This window comes from Homo sapiens, chromosome 6 (genome assembly GCF_000001405.40).
Source record: "Homo sapiens chromosome 6, GRCh38.p14 Primary Assembly".
NCBI lineage: Eukaryota > Metazoa > Chordata > Mammalia > Primates > Hominidae > Homo > Homo sapiens.
Window position 1 is genome coordinate 130,995,518 of NC_000006.12, and position 23,564 is coordinate 131,019,081.

At 39.5% G+C, this 23,564-nt stretch overlaps 1 protein-coding gene across 18 annotated transcripts in view, besides 1 other annotated feature; it reads right to left on the minus strand.

Annotated features, from left to right (window-relative positions):
• EPB41L2 (erythrocyte membrane protein band 4.1 like 2) overlaps positions 1-23,564 on the minus strand; it is a 223,899-nt gene that overhangs the window by 156,171 nt on the left and 44,164 nt on the right. Inside the window, exon 1 of one of the 18 annotated variants that reach the window (NM_001350309.1) lies at positions 18,045-18,092. The exons of 16 other annotated variants lie outside the window; for them this stretch is intronic. The gene's annotated coding sequence lies outside the window, so the exon portion shown is untranslated. Of the gene's footprint in view, positions 1-5,102; positions 5,213-18,044; positions 18,093-23,564 lie in introns of those variants that run through there. One more of the 18 variants, NM_001252660.2, reaches the window with a different exon arrangement.
• Positions 20,497-20,666: an enhancer, noted in NCBI's record as "experimental_89780 CRE fragment used in MPRA reporter constructs". NCBI's record gives its function as "activates a minimal promoter by MPRAs in K562 erythroleukemia cells, with activity observed for both the introgressed and non-introgressed 6:131337239 variant alleles {active_cell/tissue: K562}" and the evidence as "EXISTENCE:reporter gene assay evidence [ECO:0000049][PMID:34662402]".

Below are 23,564 nucleotides of genomic sequence, written 5' to 3' on the forward strand. Positions count from 1 at the left end.
AAAATGTATAAAACCAAACTGTGCTCTGACCACCACGGGCACATGTCTTCAGGACCTCCTGGGGCTGCGTCATGGGTGCAGGTCTTCAACCTTGGCAAAACAAGCTTTCTAAATTGACTGAGACCTGTCTCAGATATTCGGGGTTCATAGTACATAGTATATATCTGAACCAAAATGTGAAATGTAGCACTCATAAAAATTAACTTAGCTGCCATAGCTAACTTTCCCTTTGTCATGATCTGCCTGATCCTTTCCTCCTCCTATGGTCAGCCTCACTCCCATGATTTACACTAGCTCTGTTCAAGCAGTTTGAGTTCAGCCATATTTTGGAACGCTGTCATATCCTCCTTCCCAATCCTTTTCTATCTCCTCCCACTGTCCCCTAAAATTCCAGGTTAACCATATTGGAACATATAAATTCAATAGCACAGTTATGAATAGATAAGGAAACTTGTTTTTCCTGTTCTATTATCTGTATATCATAAGTAAATATTCTTCCCACTGGACCTCAGAGTAATAAGGGAGCCAGAGATACTCTGTCTCTTCTTTGGAGAGGGACTGGCCCCAGTATCTGAGTCTCCTTGGAGGGTTTCCTCTCACTTATACCCCTTAGTTACAAAAGAACATCCATATAAAGAGTTGGTTTCTGCCATAAAGTTTACTGTAACAGGATCTGTCCTATACCAATTGTGTATTTATCTTTAAAAGACACAGATGGAATGGCATGACCAAGAGCTTGGAATCATTCTATAAAACAAGCCCAACTGATGCCCAGACATAAACAAACACTGGAACCCCTGTGTACCTCTGCCCCAGATGACAGGAGTCAGGCCAGCACAGATCAGCTCTTGTTGGAAATCAGTGAGCTGGCCCCTCCAGGACGGGTCAGGGCTTATGTGATCTGATCTTTACTTGTTTCAAAGCCTTCTTAAGAGTTATAATATAGACTTGTTACACTTATATGATCCTGGAAAACATCCAAAATGACTAGCCTATGTCTTTCTGATGCACATCTTCTGTAGGCAATAAATGTACACACTTTCTACAAACTGTGAACTTTCAAATGAGTCCATCTAATGAATGAATGAATGAATGCCCTATAGATTAACACTTCCAAAATTAAGTTCTACTACCTTAAGAATTTGTGGCAATGCATCACCCTATTTTGCAAAGGGAAAACAAGTGAATTTAAAAGGATAATGCTGTTGCTTTAACCTATGTGAACATATTCACAGACAAGAGACTGGAAATGTTCAACCAAAATGGTAACGGTAATTATTCCTGAAATGTGGGTACCTGGAAATTTTGCTTTATTTGCATTTTTCTGTTACCAAGTTTTCTGCACTGAACATGTGTTATAATTTTCAAAAATTTAAATAAAGTCCATTAAAATGGAAAAATGTAGGGTTTTCTCCCTTTAACTCTATACTCCTTAACAGTTTTAAGGGCAGTACAAAACAGGATAACTAAGTCCCAGCAAAGTTATAATAAATTGGTATTGTGCCATGTGGTATAGATTTACCAAAAACACAGAGGTACATTCATACTATTCCTCTTTGAGCTTGGCACTATACACAAGAAATCACTGGACTCTGAGAAGCTTTCAGACACTGTTACATTAGAGGACTTTTCTTTAAGTTAGATTTGAACTGGATTTAAAAGAATGAAAGGAATTTCCTGGATTTTATCACAGCAATTTCCCAGGAGATTTTTCCCTCAGTTCTTCATACAAGGATTAAAGCCACTTAGCAAATTAGAGAGTGTACTTGCCACTTAAAACGCTATTAAGATCATGTAAATTAAGAGGTCTTTAAAAAGCAATGCACATCAACAAAAGACTTAAGAGTTCCTGCTCAGAAGTTGTTTTAACAGTTTCCTATGAAGGTAGTCAAAAAGCATCAACCATCTGAGGTCACATCTAAGTGCAGGGGGGATCTACTTTCAGACCACACAGAGCTACGAAGGGATCAGGGAACACATATCTACATTAGATCAAGAAAGAGCCTTTCTTTGTTATATGACAACTGTTACTGTCAAATTTTCTCTACGACTTCATTAAAATATCAAGCACAATACACGCACAATTTAACACAGCACAAGGCGGACAGGGACGTGTTTTTCAGGACTGCAAAATGGCATCTGCAGAATGTCTCAAAGGAGTGACAAAGGCACTTCTTTAGCCCTAACAAAGAGAACAATGTTTCCAGTAGGACACTACAGGACTATTGCATTTCAGGGGGGAAAAGGCAGTGAAAATTAACACAAAACAGAGCTAAACATGGAGAATGACAGTCTGTAGGGAAGAATTAAAAGAAACTATTGGACACAAGTTTCACTCATTATTGTATATAAGAGCACCTAATGTTTTAAAAATCGAGTTATTGCAACTGTTAAGTTTGCAAATAAAATTATAACTAAAAAAAATCACAAAATAACCTTACTTATCAACTGAATTAATTTGATTCATAAGCACTGTATTTCTATAATTCCTGTTAAAAGGTAGTTTATAAACAAGCAATAACAGTATTATGATAAGCAATCTATGTGTATCATTTCATTTAATTTCTCACGACCACTCTATGAGAAATGTACTACCAATGACTCCATTTTATAAGTAAGGAAATTGAGTCTTAGAGATATAACATAGCTCAGCATCAGACAGATCTGAGTTTCAATTCCAACTCCTTCACTTACTAGCTATGAGACTTTGACTTTCTTTCCAAGATCTTTTGAATTCCAAGACTATGAAAATCAAATAATTTTCACATGGATTAAGGACAAATTCTTTTCAAAAATGGGACAAGAACTTTCCTATAACACCATACAAAAATGGAGCTAGTTGCTTAATGAATTGGGGGTGTAGGGGAAATTGGGATACACCCACCCAAGATCAACCAAGTAACACTTGCAAAACACTGTTAAAAGAGTAGCTTAAGAATGCCTTAGGAAAAAAACGAAGAGAAGGAATGATGAGAGTTAGGATTAATTACAAAATAAATAGCATATCTGAATAGACTGGATGGGGAAAGATGATAATCAGGATACTAAACTGATTATTCCTCACTTTATCTGAGGTGTATGTGCTTAGTTATCTTCAGTGGACAGTACTCTGAAAAACTATTTGATGATTTCTATATTGTGAAAAAACAACTTCAGCCATAGTTACAAACAGTAGACTCTGATTACAGTAAATAAAACCAGTAAATAAGTTAGCAACAGGTAAATTTTTCTCCCTATGACTATTTGTTTCATAAATTGTCAATCCTACTTTGAATCCCAGGACACTGCTACCCAACTAATCTTCCTGAACTCCAGTTCTGATCATATCATTCACCTGTACAGGAAACCTCAGTGACTCCACTGAGAGAGGAAAGCAAACCCAGAAAGCAATTCTTCTACCTCGAATAGAGTCCTCCACACTCTGGCCTGACTCTCCTTTTCCAGCCTTTCTACTCAGTTCTGCCCAGGATGAAAGCTATCATTCTGGAGGTAAGAGCCACTGTCTCCAGGCTCAATCCTCAAGCCTCTTCTCAAAAGACAGCCAACCAAGTAGAATGCCCATAATGACGAGCACCACCGTAGAGTCCAGTTACCAGGCTATGACTTTGCCAGACTTCCCTGCCTACCCCAGCTCAATGCTGTTCTTCTCTCTCCCAGATCCCCTAGTGTCCCCTACCCCTCTTTCAGAGCTCAGCACTTTTCTACACTCTAGGCCCAATGCGCCCATCTTATCCACCTTACCAAGCAAGTCTGTCTTACTTATTTCTGTATGCACCACAGCAACCAACCATACCCTTTTGCACAAAGTTCTACTTAATATATGTTGGGCAGAAAGAAACAATAAGAAAAATCCAGCATGCCTAAGTTTTCAAACCATTCTAGGCATTATAATCTTACTTTTCTATTATCCAAGATAACCATCTTAATGATTCAATAAAGTTATTGTAATATTAAGTCAAACAGCACTCTACTGGAACAAATATTATTTCGGCACATTTGTAGTAAGAAATCTCATGTCGTCTTTTAAGATTCCTTTCAAGAAAATGGGGGAAGCATGGTATTTACTATCTTCACCCTGCATGATTGCTTCTCATGGATTAAGATTGGCCTACTGGGTCACTAGCTTCAAAAAGGTATCAAATTCTAAGAAAAGCAAGAAGAAACTAGAAATGTCTCCAGAAAACATGCTAAAATTAATTTGGGAGGGGTATACAATCCTCCTGAATCATATTAATTTTAGATCTGGAAGGGACCCAAGAAAATAACTTAGCCAACCCTTTATTATGCAGATATTAGAGAATCAAAGAAATTTTAGACTGAGCTAACTGACTGAAAGATCAGCTTTTTAGAATATCCTGAGCAAAGGCAGAAACCTAACCTCCTGGCAAAAAATAGTTGCCAGGTATTTCTCATTTGCATAAACATGTTAAATCAACCAGGCAATGAGCTGAAATTAATTAGGTGATAAGCTCACATTTCTGAATGAATTTACCCCTCAGTGTTTTCTCAAATGGAGCTCACTTTTGCCAAATATACTTTCCTCTTGTTATCTTTGTTTTCCCAATGCACATCTCACTGTTGACCTTCCAATTTCCTATAGATGTAAATACCGTATAAAGATGTGGAATAGTGGCTTTTTAAAAAAAAAAAATACAGGCATCACTATAATCTCTCATCTGTGTATAACCTTTACTAGACTGGGTAGGGAGGATCTTCTTCCTTCACTGTTCAAGTTGGTGTTAAAATCACAGCAGAAAATAGGAACACAGAATGCCTGGAAAAGCGAAGGGTGCCTATCCAGGAAAGCTCACAACTGAGGCATAAAACAAGAAATCCGCTCTTATTGTTTTCTTCTGCACCCCCTCAAATATAATTTGTAATGGTTACACATAACTTTTAGGAAGAAAAATACAAGCTGTCTCCCAGGAAATCTGACCAACGCAACTACCAAAAATCCAAATCTGAACCATACATCAACGGGTTAATGGCACCCTATGAAACAAAATTCACAGGTATTCCTTCCGTTTGAGGAGAATAACACAGTAAAAAACAGAAATACCACTTGCCCCACAACGGAGCATCCCAAGGAAAAATCGACTCACATTTATCAGTAATAAATTCGCTGGGTAAACCATAGATCTCCTCAGAACTCACACCTGCAGCCCAGGCTGTGATCACTGTTACCACCTTGCTTGCTGGCACCGTGCAATCCAAGGACGCCTGGATTAGGATAAACGCCTTAAGTACAGTGCTGACACAATCCAGTCCTAGTGCTTAAGTCAGAGGGGCCCAGCCCTGGGTCAGGAGATAATGAGACTGATAATAGAGCCCAAAGGTAAACATAAATATCCTTAGGAAGCAGCATTGCTTTTCCAATCATGAAATGAATTCCCAAATTATTTCACTTCTTTTTTTCCAGAGCCAAACAAAAACAGATGAAAAATAATTCCAAATGATCTGGAGTGCAGCTCCATTATTACTTAAATATAATGAATAATAAACAAAGACTAAAGAGAAATGAGATCCCGCTCTAGCAACACAAGAAACTTTCTGCCAAGTATATTCCAACTATACAACTAGACACTTCTCTTTTATTTTAAGAGAAGAGAGCGTAAATGAGTGCGTACATGCTATCACTCAAGTGTGCTTAGACTATAAAGTGATGTGGCTGCTTCTCCATGAAGCTCATAGAATCAGTCACGTCTACGTCCTGACACTTCCATGGTGAACAAGTTGAGGGACAGGGAGAGCTCCAATGCCTACTCTGAGACAAGCAGCTGAGAGAGAGCAAGAGAGAGGGCAAGGGAAAGAGAAAGAGAGCACGTGAGCGCGAACAAGCATGTGCAGGCAAGCAGTCAGTCAAAACAGAGATTCTTTATATTACATGGAACAAACTTTTTGGTACAACACTAGAGAACAAGTTAAGTACAGCATTATAAGAAGCGCAGAGTGCTGCCAGAAAAAAAAGAATTTATTTTTTTAGTTCTGTTTCTTCCTACTCTATCTAGTCACTCAGGACAGTTTCCGTCATCTTTCTCCAACACTTAAGCTGTCATCTCTACCGGAGTTTCCCCACCCACCCCATGCGTTTGAAAACCTCCTGGAAAAGAACGAAAAGTATAACCAACTTTGCAAAATGACATTCAGAATTAATCCCACCCTAATATTTGGCTGTTTATCCCCCTTATTTCTTGATCTCTTTCCATTCTTTCTTCCTGTCCTTCTTTCCCTACCTATAAGTAGATCCTAGCAACGAAAGTTACTTCCTTTTTTCCCTGCTCTCCTTAGACTTTCAAAACTAAATTTCTCCATTGCCCCCATGCCAGCTTCAATTCTTCCCTCAAGATAAAGAAAGCCGAGAAATGCACAAAATTGTCCATAAGTCTTTAGGATGCCAAATTTAATATTCTAAAGATTTCTGTGGAAGAATATTTCCAAGCAAAACAAAAACTAATGATTCTCAATCATCTATTTTTCAGACATTCCTTCTCATCTCACCAAATTCACCTGAGCCGTCACATATAGATTTGTCTAGATTTAGACTAAAGTCAAATGCAAATAAAGGTGAGTCTGAAGCCATGATTACTGCCTCAAAAAGAACTTTAACTACCTGTTGATTCAAAGTGTGCCAATCATGCCAGACTTGCTTTTTTTTCAGAGGCATTCCTTCGATCACCAGTGCCAGCACAACTATAAACTCACACAGAGAAGAGACCTTGTCCTCAAATTAGCCCCAAATGCACTCAGAACGTTTTTCACCAGTCCTAGCAATAATACTGAGAACGTACAAGGCCCTCTGCTAGCACTATGGAGTCGAGGGAAAGTGGAGGGGAGAGAGAAGAAAGAAGGGGAATGGCAATACAACAGCCTTGTCCCTGAGGAGCTGATAACCTAGACCGCTAACACAGACAACCTCATGGAAAGTTAACATTAATAAACAGGTCAAATTTCAAGGTGACATTAGAATAAATGCCGTAAGTCTGTGTATGAGCAATTGCTAAAGGAATTACACAGCTACGAATTCCTACAGGAATTCAGCAAAATGAAGTGAATACATTCCAGAGTAAAAGGAATCTGGCATGTGAGATGATAGTTACTTTGGCAAAATCATTTTAAAAGGTTAATGGATTTATTAGTTTTAATATGGTGGAAGAGAAATACTTCAGATATGACTGTGTGTTTTTAACCTCTATTTCTTTCAGGTTCACATCAAACAACCCTAAAATGGCAACAATCCAGCCACATCATAATGGTTTTCAAACTTCTTCCAATCGCTTGGGCCAAATTAACTAAACAGCTGTGTTTGGGTGGTCTCAATTTTTCACTCAACGTTACAGTTAGATGGATTTAACCCTCGGGGTCAATGATCTTTTAAGTCATCCTACAGGAAAACAATACTTTATAAACTTTTCCCAGTAGATAAAGTAAAACAGGCAGAATGGTATAGTGAAAAATGTTCTGGAATAGGTGGAACCAATTCTAATTCCAGCTATGAAAATAATAGTAGTTTTAAGCAAGTTATTTGATTTCACTTTACTAAATTTCCTAATCAGTAAAATTAAAGCAGGAGGGATTAGTTATCTCTTTTTAAGTGTCACTTAGTTATAAAATTCTACATTTAAAAAAAAATCACTTGGCACTGCAAAGAGTACACAAAATAACACTGAGTGAAAAATGACAACAAAACCAGAATACGAGCCTCACTTTGTGAAATGTACAAAAATATGTGTTTACTTAAAGATTTATTCCATAAGCCATGAATGTAGCATACAAAGATAAAAACGATATAATTTTAACAGTGAAGGTGGAAATGAGGCCAGGTCTCATTTTATTATTTATGATCTCTATTTCCAATTGTAGTCAATAAACATATAAAAAGATCCAATCCTTTGAATCCAAGCTTGACATTTTCAATCAGAGCTCTTCAGCCTCTTCGAAATACACTGCCAATCAGAGTTGTCTTAGAAACACTGTAAGCCCAGTCTTCAATTAGGGGGAAAAGAGAAAGGGCAAAACCACAGTTTTGTTTTTCCACTACTACTTTTCTCATCTAGTCTAAAATCCCTTTCTCCATCCCCACCCCTCCTCACAAAAACCTCTTGGGAGTGACTGAACGCAAGTAACCTAAAACTGGAATTTCTGGAACTGTATGGTTTTCAAAAACCATCATATTGTCATCTCCCTACTTCTACACACATGCCCAGAATTGGATTTCATACTTATTTTCACAACAAAATCTCCCAGTAGTACTTAAACATTTTCTTTTTCCTTTTTTCAAAAGCATGGGCAGGTTATATCGGAAAAAAAGAGGAGAATAATTTGGCACCTGTGGAGGTGATGTCATTACCAGCCATGGGTCTGAACTGTCCCTGGAATGCAGCTTGCAGCTTGAATCTCTGAGCCCACCCAACGCTGTTGAACATAAAACACACTCATATTTGACTGGCTCTGCTTAGGAAGCCCTGTACTTACAACTTATCAGCTTTAAACTTTTTATAGAACATAGCATCAAATATTGTCAAGGATCATCCTTGGAAGGCCAAACTTTACAGCTCTAAACCTTTATTTAATATCTGGCAGGCCTGTGAACGACTTGTTCTGCCTGCCTATCTATAGACAGTCCCTGCTTCATGATAGGTTGTATTCCAAAAGCCTGATTTTGAGTCACCAGCTTGAAAAAAGAACTATACATACTCCCAACAACAGATGGAGTGAAGGCTTGATTGAAGAAGGGGTGGGCACAGTGGGGGAGTAAGACCGACAGGGAATGACAAAAGTGAACCTGGGGGTGTAAGCTCCAATCCTCAATCTGTAAAATGAGGTTAAGGAAATCTAAAACAAAGCAGGTAGAATAACAGTTTCTTGACATAAAGTAAACACCAATATATGTTAGCTACTGTTATCATTTTCTCTCTTCACAGAAACAGTCATTAAAGGGAGTATTAATTCCCTAGGCCTACCAAAGGAAGGTCAATTAACCTATTAACACACCTGAAAGTACTTGAAAACCACAAATCCTAACAACACTTCTAAGGAAAGCATGCAGTAAGGAGTTCCGACTAGCACACATGTGCTCTCCAGAGGAAGAAGTGCACCCTCCATTCACACCAGACAGTGCAATGCAGAATCCTTACCCCCACCACTCCTCCAGCAAGAAGCCCACCCAGAAATGAGGTGCCTGTAAAGGAGATGGGGTGTGAACTCTGAACTCCAACAGACTAGGGGTGAAGGGCTACAGAAATTTAAGCCTCTGCCCAAATCACCCAACTCCCCACTACACAACTCCCTGGTCACCTTTCCCTTCCTTTTTAGTAGCCACCGAATGTAGCCCTCCTGCTTCCCACTGCCAGCATCTGTCCAGGACGGTCATGTACAAACAGGAACTAGACTCTTCACCTTCCAAATTCAGTCAAGAAAGCAACATAAAGCTTTGCAACTTTCTATCAAGATTTTACTATTCATAACAATCAAGAAATGGATAAGAAAAGCCTAAATATGTTTGTCTGTTTTTACTTACATTCCAAAGGCAAAGGCAAAAACACACTCAGACGTCAATGCTAATATAGATACATTTAAAGTAGTCAAGACAACAGAAAAAGGAAGAAGCTGCAACTTCTATCTTGCAATTCCCAAGACGGTGCTTACTTGATCTTTTACAGAGTTTTTTTTTTTTTTTAACCTTCAAAAACCTCTAAAAAGTAGTCAGTTTTCAATTATCTACTGCTGGTGATGTGGTTTATAGGCAACAACATAGCTATGTCCCAGAAAGCTCTCTCCCTGTGACCCAAAGCACATCCAAAGTCCCCTCTCCTCATTGCACAGCTTTTACAGACTCACAAGATCTTAGAGATGCCCTAGAACCTGACATTTGTCTAATCTATTTTTCCCAGTCTGACAATGAAGCTGGAGCTATCTGTGTGGAGCCAGAAGTTCAACCAATACCTCTGGGCCATGCTTTTCCCCACCACTCTAGAATGTTTAAAGTCAGTGGAAAGGGGAGTGTTGGGGGGAGCCAGAATCTAAAGCCAAGCCTTCACATGTATAATGTATTCCAAATGTAAACATTTCTTAGTTATTACCCATATTCCTGCTCCCTTCTATAAGGCACAGGGCAGAAGACTATGCGAGTGTGTATGCATTCCTACTTAAAAGGCAAATCTCAGTAATCCTGTTTTTTCTCACTATCTCAGTTACCCATTCCCACGGTCATGCACCAAGAACTGGCTTTCAATTTTTTCCAACTGTGACCCAGAGGGAAATATTTACATCCCAACGCAGTTCACAAATACACAGTAAACACACCCAGTTTTAATGAAAACAACATTTTTAAATGACTATGTGATCACTCTGATCAAGACTCAAGGCTAAGCTTGGGGAGGAGTTCATGCTAAATCCAGCCCCAACCCTTCCACTCAAAAAGCCTTCTCCCTGACAGCAGATAGCCTCAGCCAGAAAAAAAAGGTGCATCTCTTTCCTCTCCTTCCTTATTTCTTTCCTTTCCCAAAAAGAAGTCCTTCTTGTTGTGTGTTAGGTTTTCTTTTGTTTGTTCTTTTTTTTGAGATGGAGTTTCGCTCTGTCAACCACGCTGAAGTGCACTGGCTCGATCTCGGCTCACTGCAACCTCTGCCTCCCAGGTTCAAGCGATTCTCATGCCTCAGCCTCCTGAGTAGCTGGGATTACAGGCACCCACCACCACACTAGGGTAATTTTGTATTTTTTAGTAGAGACAAGGTTTCACCAGGTTGGCCAGGCTGGTCTCGAACTCCTGACCTCAAATGATCTGCCTGCCTCTGCCTCCCAAAGTGCTGGGATTACAGGCATGAGCCACCGCACCCGACGAACTTCTTTTTAAGTTCACTTAAGGCTGGGCACGGTGGCTCACGCCTGTAATCCCAACACTTTGGGAGGCCGAGGCAGGCAGATCATTTGAGGTCAGGAGCTCGAGACGAGCCTAGTCAACACGACAAAACCCCGTCTCTACTAAAAACAAACAAACAAAAAATTTAGCCAAGTGTGGTGGTGCGCGCCTGTATTTCCAGCTACTCAGGAGGCTAAGGCAGGAGAATCGCTTGAACCCAGGAGGCAGAGGTTGCAGTGAGCCGAGATCGCACCACTGAACCCGACTGGGTGACGGACTGAGACTCTATCTCAAAAAAAAAAAAAAGATTCATTACAAGTTCCATGAGTTAGATTTTTTAGCATTTTTTAAAAATGCTGGTCATGACTCTCTAATACTAGGTTTTGAAAAATCCTGCCCTAGACCTATTACTCTACAATTATCTCAATTTCATGCACCCCGACCTCTGAATATCTATCTTTCCAGCTCAATCCCTCTTCTCCAACAATTCTCTAACCCTGAGGATCCTGTGCCCATACCACCTTCCCAGTGCCCCAGTCTTCACTCCCTTCCTTAAGCAGCTTGGATCCCATGGGCCCCAATCACATCTTAACTCCTTTGCCCCTCCCTACCTCCAACACACTCGCCCTATTTATGGTTACATTTACCTTGGCCTTACTTCAGATGTGCACCCAAGCAGCCAAATGAAAATAGCCACAGTAACTTTTCTCAATTTAAATCCACAGCCACAAACTTTAAGCAGACGGATATGGTTTGGCTCTGTGTCCCCACTCAGATCTCACCTTGAATAGTAATAATCCCCATGTGTCAAGGGTAGGACCAGGTGGGCAGTTTCCCCGATTCTGTTCTCGTGACAGTGAGTTCTCATAAGATATTGTAGTTTTATAAGGGGCTTCCCCCTTCGCTCAGCACTCATTCTCTCTCCTGCCGCCCTGTGAGGAGGTGTCTTCCACCGTAACTTTGTTTCCTGAGGCTTCCCCAGCCAAATGGAACTGTGAGTCAATTAAACTTCTTTTTTTTAAAAATTACCCAGTCTTGGGTATCTCTTTATAGCAGCATGCAAATGAACTAATACAGTAAATTGGTACCGGGAGTGGGGTGCCGCTGTAAAGATAACCGAAAATGTGGAAGGAACTTTGGAAATGGGTAACAGGCAGAGGTTGGAACAGTTAGGAGGACTCAGAAGAAGATAGGAAAATGTGAGAAAGTCTGGAACCTCCTAGAGACTTGTTGAATGGCTTAGACCAAAATGCTGATAGTAATATGGGACAATGAAGTCCAAGCTGAGGTGGTCTCAGATGGAGATGAGGAATGTGTTGGGAACTGAAGTAAAGGTCACTGTTTCTATGCTTTAGCAAAGAGACTGGTGACATTTTGCCCCTGCCCTAGAGATCTGTGGAACTTTGAACTTAAGAGAGATTATTTAGGGTATCTGGTGGAAGAAATTTCCAGGCAGCAAAGCATTCAAGATGTGACCTGGATTATTCTGAAAGCATTCAGTTGTATGTGTTCACAAAGAGGTGGTTTAAAATTTGAATTTATGTTTAAAAGGGAAGCAGAGCATTAAAGTTTGGAAAATTTGCAGCCTGACAATGCAATAAAAAAGAAAAACCAATTTTCTGGGGAGAAATTCAAGCTGGCTGCAGAAATTTGCATGAGCAACAAGGAGCCAAATGTTAATCCCAAGACAATGGGAAAAATGTCTCCAGGGTATGTGAGAGACCTTCACAGCAGGTGCTTCCCGTCACAGGCCCAGAGGCCTAGGAGGGAAAAATGGTTTTGTGGGCTGGGCCCAGGGTCCCCTGCTCTGTGCAGCCTCTGGACATGTGCCCTGCATCCCAGCTGCTTCAGCTCCAGCTGTGGTGGCTAAAAGGGGCCAAGGTACAGCTCAGGCCATTGCTTCAGAGGTGCAAGCCCCAAGCCTTGGTGGCATCCACGTGGTGTTGACCCTGCGGGCGCGCAGAAGTTAAAAATTGAGGTTTGGGAACTTCCACCTAGATTTCAGAGGATGTATGGAAACACCTGGATGTCTAGGCAGAAGTTTGCTGCAGAAGTCGAGCTCTCAGAAAGAACCTCTGCTAGGGCAGTGCGGAAGGGAAATATAGGGTTGGAACCCCACACAGAGTCCCCTCTGGGGCACTGCATGGTGAAGCTGTGAGAAGACAGCCACTGTCCTCCAGACCCCAGAACGGTAGATTCACCAACAGCTTGCACCTTGTCCCTGGAAAAGCCACAGACACTCAATGCAAGCCCATGAAAGCAGCCGGGAGTGGGGCTGTACCCTGCAAAGCCACAGGGGTGGAACTTCCCAAGGCCATGGGAGCCCAACTCTTGCATCATGATCTGGATGTGAGACATGGAGTCAAAGGAGATCGTTTTGGAACTTTAAAGTTTAATTACTGCCCTATTGGATTTCAAACTTAGGTGGGGCCTGTAGCCCCTTTGTTTTGGTCATTTCTCCCGTTTGGAATGGTAAATACCCAATGCCTGTACCCCCATTTTATCTAGGATTAACTAACTTGCTTTTGATTTTACAGGCTCATAGGCCGAAGGGATTTGCCTTGTCTCAGATAAGACTTTGGACTTGGACTTTGAAATTAATGCTGGAATGAGTTAAGACTTTGGGGGATTGTTGGAAGGACATGACTGTGTTTTGAAATGTGAGGATATGAGATTTGGGAGGGACCAGGTTGGAATTATATGGTTTGCCTCTGTGTCCCCACTCCAATCTCACCTTGAATTGTAATAATCCCTATGTGTCAAGGGTGGGGCCAGGTGGAGTTAAGTGAATCACAGGGGCAGTTCCCCAAGCTGTTCTTGTGATAGTGAGTTCTCACGAGGTCTGATGGTTTTATAAGGGGCTTTCCCCCTTCAGTCGGCACTCATTCACTCTCCTGCTGCCCTGTGAAGAGCTGCCTTCCACCATGATTGTAAGCTTCCTGAGGCCTCCCCAGCCATGTGGAATTGTGAGTCAATTAAACCTCTTTTCCTTATAAATTACCCAGTCTCGGGTATTTGTTCATAGCAGCATGAGAACAGACTAATACACAGACCCTTAGCAATTCTCAGAAATCCTATGAGAATTCCCTACTCAATCCACACTCCCAGGCTCTTAGAAACTTATTTCGTACCTGTACATATTTCACACCTGTACATAAAGCAAAAAAAAATTATAGACTTAAAAAGATGTAACACTGGTAACTGGATGTTCCCATATTCCCAGCCATAATCCAACCACAGCTATCCTCCAATAGGAAAAATCTAAACTCTGTTTAACAAACTGTCACCCACCCCCACCAAAAAAAAAAAACCAAACTAGTCATTTAGAAAAAAAAGGTAAATCTGCCCCAGTAATATTAATAAGTTGAAGGCCACATAACCATTAAATACAGGAAAATTTACTTTCAGAGAGTGCTTTTGTTTTCTCCCCTTTTATGAAAATGTTTGGTAATATTCTCTCTTAATTCTCTTACCAAATCAGTCCATATGCAACTATGTTCTGCCACCGTAATCACTGATGGGCCTAACAGTTTATTGTCCAAATATAATTTGTTCAACCATGCAAACATCTGTGCAATCAGGCATGTTCAATTTGCCAGGGACAAGTCCAGTGACATGGCCACAAGTGATAAGCACCAATGCTCTGTTAGTGGGCCTTTCGCTGAAAGAAACAGCTTTTCCCACAATTATCTCTAGATTGAATTCAAGTGTCTAATTAATGCTTTCATGTAATTCAACAAAAACAAAACATTTACATTATAGAGTTACTATTTATTCTAACCCAAGTCACTAATGGTAACACTAATGCACATAAGCATATAAACCCCAGAGTAAAATGGAGCTGTGTTTCTTCAAATTCAAGGGCCAGTAGAAGTGAAGGCTAAGGAAGCATGTCTGCCCAAAGACAGAGTAAGAAGCACTGCCCAGAATTCCAGGTGCTACAAGAGTGCTGTCATTGTACAATCACTGCTGGACATCAAGGGCCATTTCTATTGCTTTGCAACTCCTTTCTTCCTGATAGAAATAAAGAATTAATTAATTTTTTTTTTTTTTTTGAAACGCAGTTTCACACTGTCACCCAGGCTGGAGTACAGTGGTGCAATCTCGGCTCACTGCAACCTCTGCCTCCTGGGTTCAGGTAATTCTCGTGTCTCAGCCTCCCAAGTAGCTGGGATTATGGGTACACACCACCATGCCCAGCTAATTTTTGTATTTTTAGTAGAGACGGGGTTTCACCATGTTGGCCAGGCTGGTCTCGAACTCCTGACCTCAAGTGATCCTCCCACCTCAGCCTCCCAATGTGCTGGAATTACAGGCGTGAGCCACTGCACCTGGCCAGAATTAAATCATCAATTTTTTAAAAACATCAGATTTGAGTGTGTAAATCCATATACCAGCAAATAGGCAGATCATTCTTCAGCTTGGAGCAACCTCAGGTGAAAAACATTAACACCTCCTGGACCTGCAGATATAGCCAAGACCACACACTAGCCTGCCAGCCTCCTAGCCTCACTCATCCAGACCTCCAGCATCAAAAAGGAACGTGCACAGCACCAAGATGATCAAGCTAAGGCAACAATTCCTACCTTCACTTACTCAAGAGCCTCCTCAGCACCCTGACTTTTCATCAGCCTACAGACCATTTTCCCTGATCCAGTGTTAAGACTGCTAAGATGTTTGCTTCTTTTTCTCCTCTACCATTCATTCACTCAAAATTTAGCGACTGGCTATTATGTAATCAGCACTGTGCCAGGACCTCATAGCCTAGTAAGGGACACAGGGAGTAAGTGCATAATCACAATCCATTCTGAGAACTATCTACAGAAAGCCATATGCAAAGTAGCATAAGAATAGAGGATGAAGTAGGATAAAACTGGAGCCATTCATAAAGGATGGAGGGAAGAAAGGAGGTACAGATTCCCAAGTACCTGCAAAGGCATCAAGCATAAAAGACCACTACAAGTTGCTCTTTTCAACTTTTCAAATTTAGTCAAAATTACAAACGGTAGGCCCAAGAACTTCTGAGGTAATAAATCAGTCCATTTTTCCACTAACAAGGTGGATATTTTGTAGATATTAACTGAGAAGTTTCTTCAAGATCTTCTGAAAATTCCATGTAACCATTGTATTTCGGCTTTCTATTTACAAATCAACACTTGACTCTATAGACATGTACTTCAAACTTATGTCTTAATCACAACTGCATTCTCTGGTACTCAGTATAATTCTGAGAGGCAGACTAGGACCTTCATTCAAGCCAAAACTGTCTTAAGTGAAATATATCTTTGATGGGTATTCCTTTCATTCTTTGGCTTCTCTCCCACCCCAAGCCAAGGTAGTTCAGGTACCACTCTTAATAGGCAGTCGACTACCGTGGCTAATAGAATGGCAGGTAACAGTTTAAAGGGTGACCTCCCCTAAGTAGGGGTGAAGACAGGAAGCAAGTGAAAGAGAATCCAGTGTACAGTAAATGGGTGCTAAGTTAGGACTGGGTGAGAAAACAGATGGATATCCTCTTCCTCCACCTCTAGAAGAGAACAACTTTCCAGGCCAAGCACAGTGGCTCAAGCCTATAATCCAGCACTTTGGGAGACCAAGGCAGGTGGCTCACTTGAGGTCAGGAGTTCAAGACCAGCCTGGCCAACATGGCAATACCCCATCTCTACTAAAAATACAAAAATTAGCTGGGCGTGGTGGCACGCACCTGTAGTCCCAGCTACTCGGGAGGCTGAGGCATGAGAATCACTTTAACCCAGGAGGCAGAGTCTGCAGTGAGCCGAGACTGAGTCACTGCACTCCAGGCTGGGCAACTGAGGGAGACTCTAGATGGGGGCGGGGGGAGCTTCCCTAGTTACTACTGAGTTGTTTTGTTATGAAAAAAAATCTCATGAAGTCAGAGCTTCTAACGGATTAGATTTAGCCTGGGCCCTGTGTTAGCTAAGTCAGGGTTTCTCAACCTCCGCACTACCAACATTTTATTGTGAGGAGCTGTCCCTGTGAACTGTAGGATGTTTAGCAGCATGGCGGGCTACCACATACTAGATACCACTAGCACACCTTCAAGTTGTGGAAATAAAAAATGTCCCCTACGGAACATCACCTGGGCTGGGAACCACCATACTAGATGATGAACATCAGGCTACTTATTAACTATACAATGAAGAAGAAACTGATGTTGATGAATAGGACAAAATATTGAGATGAGAAAAAGATTATGCCATATTGGTCTACTGCCTGCATTTTAATGAAAAGCCAATAGATATCCCCAATAGAAGAGGGAAAAAAAATGAAAATTAAGTCCAACAAAGTAAAGCAAAGCAAAGTCTGCAGCATTTAAATAAAAACATGATTGAGTGTATGTGATGCTAATTGCTAACTGAGACCACAAAATTACATTAAATGATTAGGTACACAGGTGCTCAGGCATGGCGGAAGTGCAACAAAGAAAGAGTTTAGTAAAAACATTAAAACCAAGTCAAACCAACTCTATCTTCATTCCACATATCCAAGCCCATTCTACAAGAATCTTCTTTAACTGATTTGATTCTACAAAATGAACATTTGTAATAGTAACTATTTTGTATTAATAATAATTAGCAACACATAGACAGGACTCCAAATCCCGGTTCCAACTATCTTCTAACTACATGACACCCTCTCTAAGCTATTTCCCCTATCCAGAGAAGTAAAAGGTGTAACCAATGTAAGAACATGAGCACAGTGCCTGGCACACTGTAAGTACTAATAAATGGCAATTACCAGTAGTTACACATATTATTTTGTAAACATGTTTTTACTACAAAATGGAAGACATTGCCCAAGAGGAACTAAGAAGAAAACACACTTCTAATCAGTTAACTAAAGAAAAAAAAAAATATATATATATAAGACCCAATCCTGTAAAATACATGCCTAAGATGCCAAAATTTACTTCACTCTAAAGGCAGGAGAAAAACATGGATTACCAACCAAGCACATGGCTATAATAAAAGCAAAATATAAATGCTACTTTTTTTTTAAGTATCACATTATTTCCCACTTGCACTCACTCCAAATATATTTCCCCAGACTTTTATCCAAATCAGCTAAAATACCATTTTCAAGGGGTTGAGATTAAAAATTCACTTTATAAAAGAAATTTTCTATGAAGCCTAATAATCAAGTAGAAAAAAGAGTATTTTCTCACACATATCCAGAGCCAGTTTAGAGTTGCTGTTTTTGCCTCACAGAAGTTGTTTTCCAGCCACAAGCTACTACAGATTGTTCAGACCTTTTGGCAGCAACACAGGAAACTGCCCTTTTCACCCGTTCTCCCACAAAAATGTAGTCAATTTCTAGGCAAGCCCATATCTCAAGGCTACTTTGCTTTATAGAGCCAAATGCACACAATTTTTCATTTAGCATTAAGAAAGGGCCCCATATATTTTGCATTTTTGTAAAGAAAATTGAAAGCAAGTCACCAAAGACATACGGGCAAAGTTATTTATTAAATCAGCTCATAAAGTGTGCCACACCAACATTTGAAATTTATAGGACATTCGGAATCACAGCTGTTTCTGTTTTATATCCAAATCGTCCAGGATGCAATGGGCAACACGTGAAGCTATTTCCTGATGCTTAATTGTGCCTTGGTGTCCCACTATTCTCAACTTGCCATGTTTCAAATAAATAGTTAAAATAGGTGTGATTAAAAAAAAAAAAAAAACTCAGGCAGCCCACTCACTCACCATATCTTTCATTTGAATCTGAGGTTTTTCTACAATACTATGGATCACATAAAGACATCTGAGCAAGTCACAGGATGAAGCCGAAGTTCTTCTCACATTTCTTATTCAAGTATACAAAATCAACCCACATTTTTCTCCTTCAGTTATTTAAGGGGAGGTGAGGGTAGGAGGTGGTAAATTATGCAACAGCTATAACGTATTTAATTTCTAAAAATGAAGCCAATGCTGCCTTTTAAATGCAAAATTAAAGATGACCCTTTAAAAACCAGGAATCCCTTTGTATCCCATTTGGCTTAAAATTTCACAGACTGGTCATTTATTTAGAACACAAGGAAGTCCAAATGGTAAAAAGGCATCTGTAATCACTCACAAAATGAAGCTGGATACTACCCTGTCCTGGGAGAGTTGAATGCCAAAATTCAATCTGTGACCCAAGCTCCACAATTCATAGATTGTGTAAAAAGAAAAATCAGCACAATATTTTCCAAGGGACGTTTTCTGTCTCCAAAAATGACTTGCAACTGCAAACAAGTTCCAACAATGACGCAAAGGCAACCTCTCCAAAAGGGTACAATTTCAGAAACTGTCCAAAAACCCCATACACAAAAACAATAAGCAAAGGAACCTCGATTCAATTACACAAGACCCATTACACTTTGATTCAAGAGAAGATAAAAGAGTATTTTTCAGTCAGAGTCCAACATAAACACTAATGTAAAATATGCTCAAATTCAGAACTTCTTTTCTGAATTTAAATTATTCCAGCATAATAAATCCTATAGATTACACAGGGAAGAAATCCGGAAAGCAAACCAAGGAATTCAAAATAGAAATTCAAAGGAAAATGTTTGGGTGTCTGGTAGGTAAAGAGACCTGCTTGCCTATATCTAGGTACAAAAGGCACATCTTGTTATTTTAGGTAATTTTTCCAACTTAAATAAACTGCACAGTGGAGCAGGAACCAACTGTAAACATGCTTTCATTCCCTGCTTGCCTTAAGAAAATGTTGGTAAACCAGGCTATCTTTCATCTCCATAAACAAAACAGAATATCAAAGAGATTTCACATTATTGTTTATCAGCTTATCAGCATCATCAAAGTACATCTGTAATCGATACTACTTATGAGAAAGCATCTGTGGAAAGAGCAAGAAGAAAGAGTCTGTGTTGGAAACTCACTTGGGAGGGTCTGAAGGAGTTTTGTGTGCTGTTCACCACTATCATAAAATAGCCTGTAAGACAATCACCAAAAAGTAAAAACAGAGATTTCTTGAGTTAATGGTCCACATCTTCACAAGAATAACTTTCGAATAAGTAAACAACAACAGAACAACTAGGCCAACGTTATCCAGAGGTCTGGCATAAGAAGATAAAGCACTCGAGTTCACAGTTTAAACATGGGTTTCCTGGCCCACAGTAGAAAACTTCAGCCTGGGGAAGATTTACTTCAAATCAAACTAAATGAGCAATTAAGGAATCTCTTTACTACTGTTACATTTTTAAATTCACCCTATTAGAACACTCATCTTAAAACAAAACTGGACTCTTCTAAAAAACAAAAGAGATGAAAAATACAGAATTGGTCACTGATTTCTGTTCATTCTCATCCTACTTCCACCTACATTCAACTAATATTTATTGTACAGTTACTATATTAAAAAGCACACAGCTAGTACTGAAGAGGGATAGAGTGAGCTAGACAGAGAGATGTACTTACTGCCAAATAGGCTATGTCTGCATCTGTAATTTGCACACAGTAAGTTCAGGTGTTTTATTTGCTTCCGGGTGTTGTTTTTAAGAATGTCTCTGTGGTTCACTTTTATATGGCAAAAGCACTGAAGGTCCTTCATGTGTCTAAATGAAAAAGTCTGGACATTTGGCTTCAATAAAGCCATCACTTTCTTGAAGATAGGTTCCAGCTATGAATCGTCTAGGTTTGTGTGCTGGACAGGGTGAAAAGGGCAATGTTCTGTGTAGCTGCCAATGGGCTGAACAATTCCCAGTAGCTTGTGGCTAAAGAAATCTTCTATGAGAAGAGAACTGTAACTTCCAAGCTGGCTTGGGATAATTGTTTGAAACAACGTGATTTTTTTCCATTCAGTTATTTTCTGTTATACCTTTTCCAGCAAAATTATTCTGTGGAATTTTAAAATAATCATGTTTTTAAATGATCTTTCCAGTAAAAAGAATGTTTCAAAAATAATGCTTAACAGCTTAACTGAAAACCAATTTCAGCACACACTAGAAACAGCATTGAATTATTTCTAGTATTCTCCATCCACAATTAACACAGTATTCATTTTGTTCAGGTATTCGCTTCTGGAAAGCTCTTCCTGAAATCATCCTGCAAATATTTATTAAGCATTTAATAAGGAAACACACACACACACACACACACACACACACACACACACACACACTCCACCAGGCTGGTCACTGTAGAGAATACCAAAATGAATGGGAAAAACTCACAGCCCTTAACAAACCAACATAATAACAGAGAGAAACAAGGGGGTCAGAAAATCTGTGTTTTTCATAAATTCCCAGGATGATTCCTGTACATACTAAGGTGATGGCATGTGCCTGTAATCCCAGCTACTCGGGAGGCTGAGGCACGAGAATCACTGGAGCCCGGGAGGCAGAGGTTGCAGTGAGCTGAGATCATGCCACTGAACTCCAGCCTGGGTGACATAGGGAGACTCTCTGTCTCTAAAAGAAAAAAAAAAAGCACTACTATATTCGCACACAAAAAAAAAACCTGGCAATAAATTAGTAAGCCATTATTTACTTTAAGAGACTCACCACTGGGTCTCTTAAATTAGAAAGCCACTATAGTTACATTTAAAATAACACTTGTTCTAAACACTTATTTGCACATGACTTTTTCAGCAATAAATCTGCTGCATAAATGAAGTATACCTAGACATTAAATTGTGTGTTGGAAAAACACTATGAAACTATTATAAAAAGAACTAAACTAGGCATCGGAAATGGTAAGTTCAAGTCCAACTACCATCACTTAATTTGAGTTACAATAAAAATCCTACCTGTCATATTATCTCATAAAGTTATTAGAATACTTAAATAAAAATATACATAAACATGTTTTGCAAAGTGTTTTACATTTTAACATTATACCACTGGACTAGGAGCAGCTCAGTGGTTTCAGTATCCCAGCAAGTAAAACCTTGTTGGGAATAAAACAAACTAACATTGGCTGGATTTTAAAAATCAATTTTTAGGCTTCCAGAAAATTCACTGATGAGTAGAAATCATTTATCAGAGTTTGCACATCTCTCAATGGATGATAACAGTACTTCACATAGTTTCATTATTGTTTTCATATTTTATATAAATTCTCACCATATTCACAGTTTTTTTGTATTTTAGTACATTATGTTAATATATGTAGCTCTATGTAGTTCATATGCAGCTCACTCATTTTAACTCCTATACAGTACTTCATTATAAAATATACTTTATTTTTCCTAATTGAAGGATAGGTTGGTTCCAAAGTTTTGCTATTATCAATGTGTCAATAAGCATGCCTTCTGAGTTTCCCTTCACCTACAGGTACAGGAATCTCAAGAGTTCATACCTAGTGCAATTGCTAGCTAGTATGGTATGGTCAGTTTTACACTGCCAAACTGTTCTCCAAGATGGTTATGCCAACTTAGGCTCTCACCAACAATGAATCTTCCCCAACACTGGTATTTTTATACTCATATTATGATGGTTATTAAAACATCTCCATTTTAACTTACATTTGCCTAACTACTAGTGAGACTCAGGGTTATTGGCCATTTGAGTTTCCATTTCTCTGCATTGTGTACAATTATGCTCTATTTTGCTACTAGGTTATCTGCCTTTTTCTTATTAATTTGTAACAGTTTTTCATATAATCTAGATTTTTAATCCTTGTAGCATATAGGCTATTTTCAACAGGATTGCCACTTGGCCAAGGCTACCTAAAGGCCTAGCTAGAACAGACCCAAGTACATTCTGACTACAAGTACAGGAGTAAGCAAGCCATGGCTGTTGTACACAGTCAAGGATGTCATCAAGAAACTAGCCTCCTTTTGCCCTCCTGCTCTGCCGTCTTTAACACTAGCCTCATTTTCACCTCTGCAAGACAGCTGCCGCAGCTCTAAACATTATGTCCACTTCAAGGGTGGGGGAAGAAAGACCGGACCCCATATTCAAGGAGTAAAACTTTCTCAGAAATCCTAAGCTCACATCTCATTGGCCACCACTGAGACCTCTAAAGGACATCAGATGAGACAGCTATTTCTAAATGGGCACAAAATCAGGGTTGTGTTGGTAAAGAAAGGGGAACAGGCGAGGTAGGCAGCTAGCAATGTTTTTCAAACATGCCTTACAAATGTATGACACCAATGTGAACCTTTTCTTTTCACTGTGGTAATTTTTTCGTATGGAAGTTTATTTTAATAGAATCAAATTTCTGAATCCTTTTCTTTATGATGTTCTGTGTGTCCCCTCCCCGCCAACTCATCAACAATGCTTATATTTACTGCTAAATATTTTAAAGATTGGCTTCTTGCCTTTAAGTCTAAATGTAATGCATCCATAAATACATCTATAATGCATTTTGTATATGGTATGAAGTAGGGAATGAATTTTTTTTATATAGACCAATCAGTGGATGTTTACCCCATTTATTTAATAGTTTACCTTTCCCTACTGATTTATAACACTGCTCCTATAGTGTAACAAGCTTCGTTATATTCGTTTATATTAAGTTTCTAGGCTTGTATCCGTTCAAATCAGGTTTACTGGTGTAATTCTCTATCCTTGCCACAATAGTTTCAACAGCCTTGATATGTGGTAGGGACAAAATCTTCCCAACTTGTTCTTCAAAATTATTTTGACTATTCTTCAACACATGCTCATTTGCATATTAACTTTAGGACTGGCTGACCCATAAAAACCCTACTTGGGATATGCGTGAATTTTCACTGA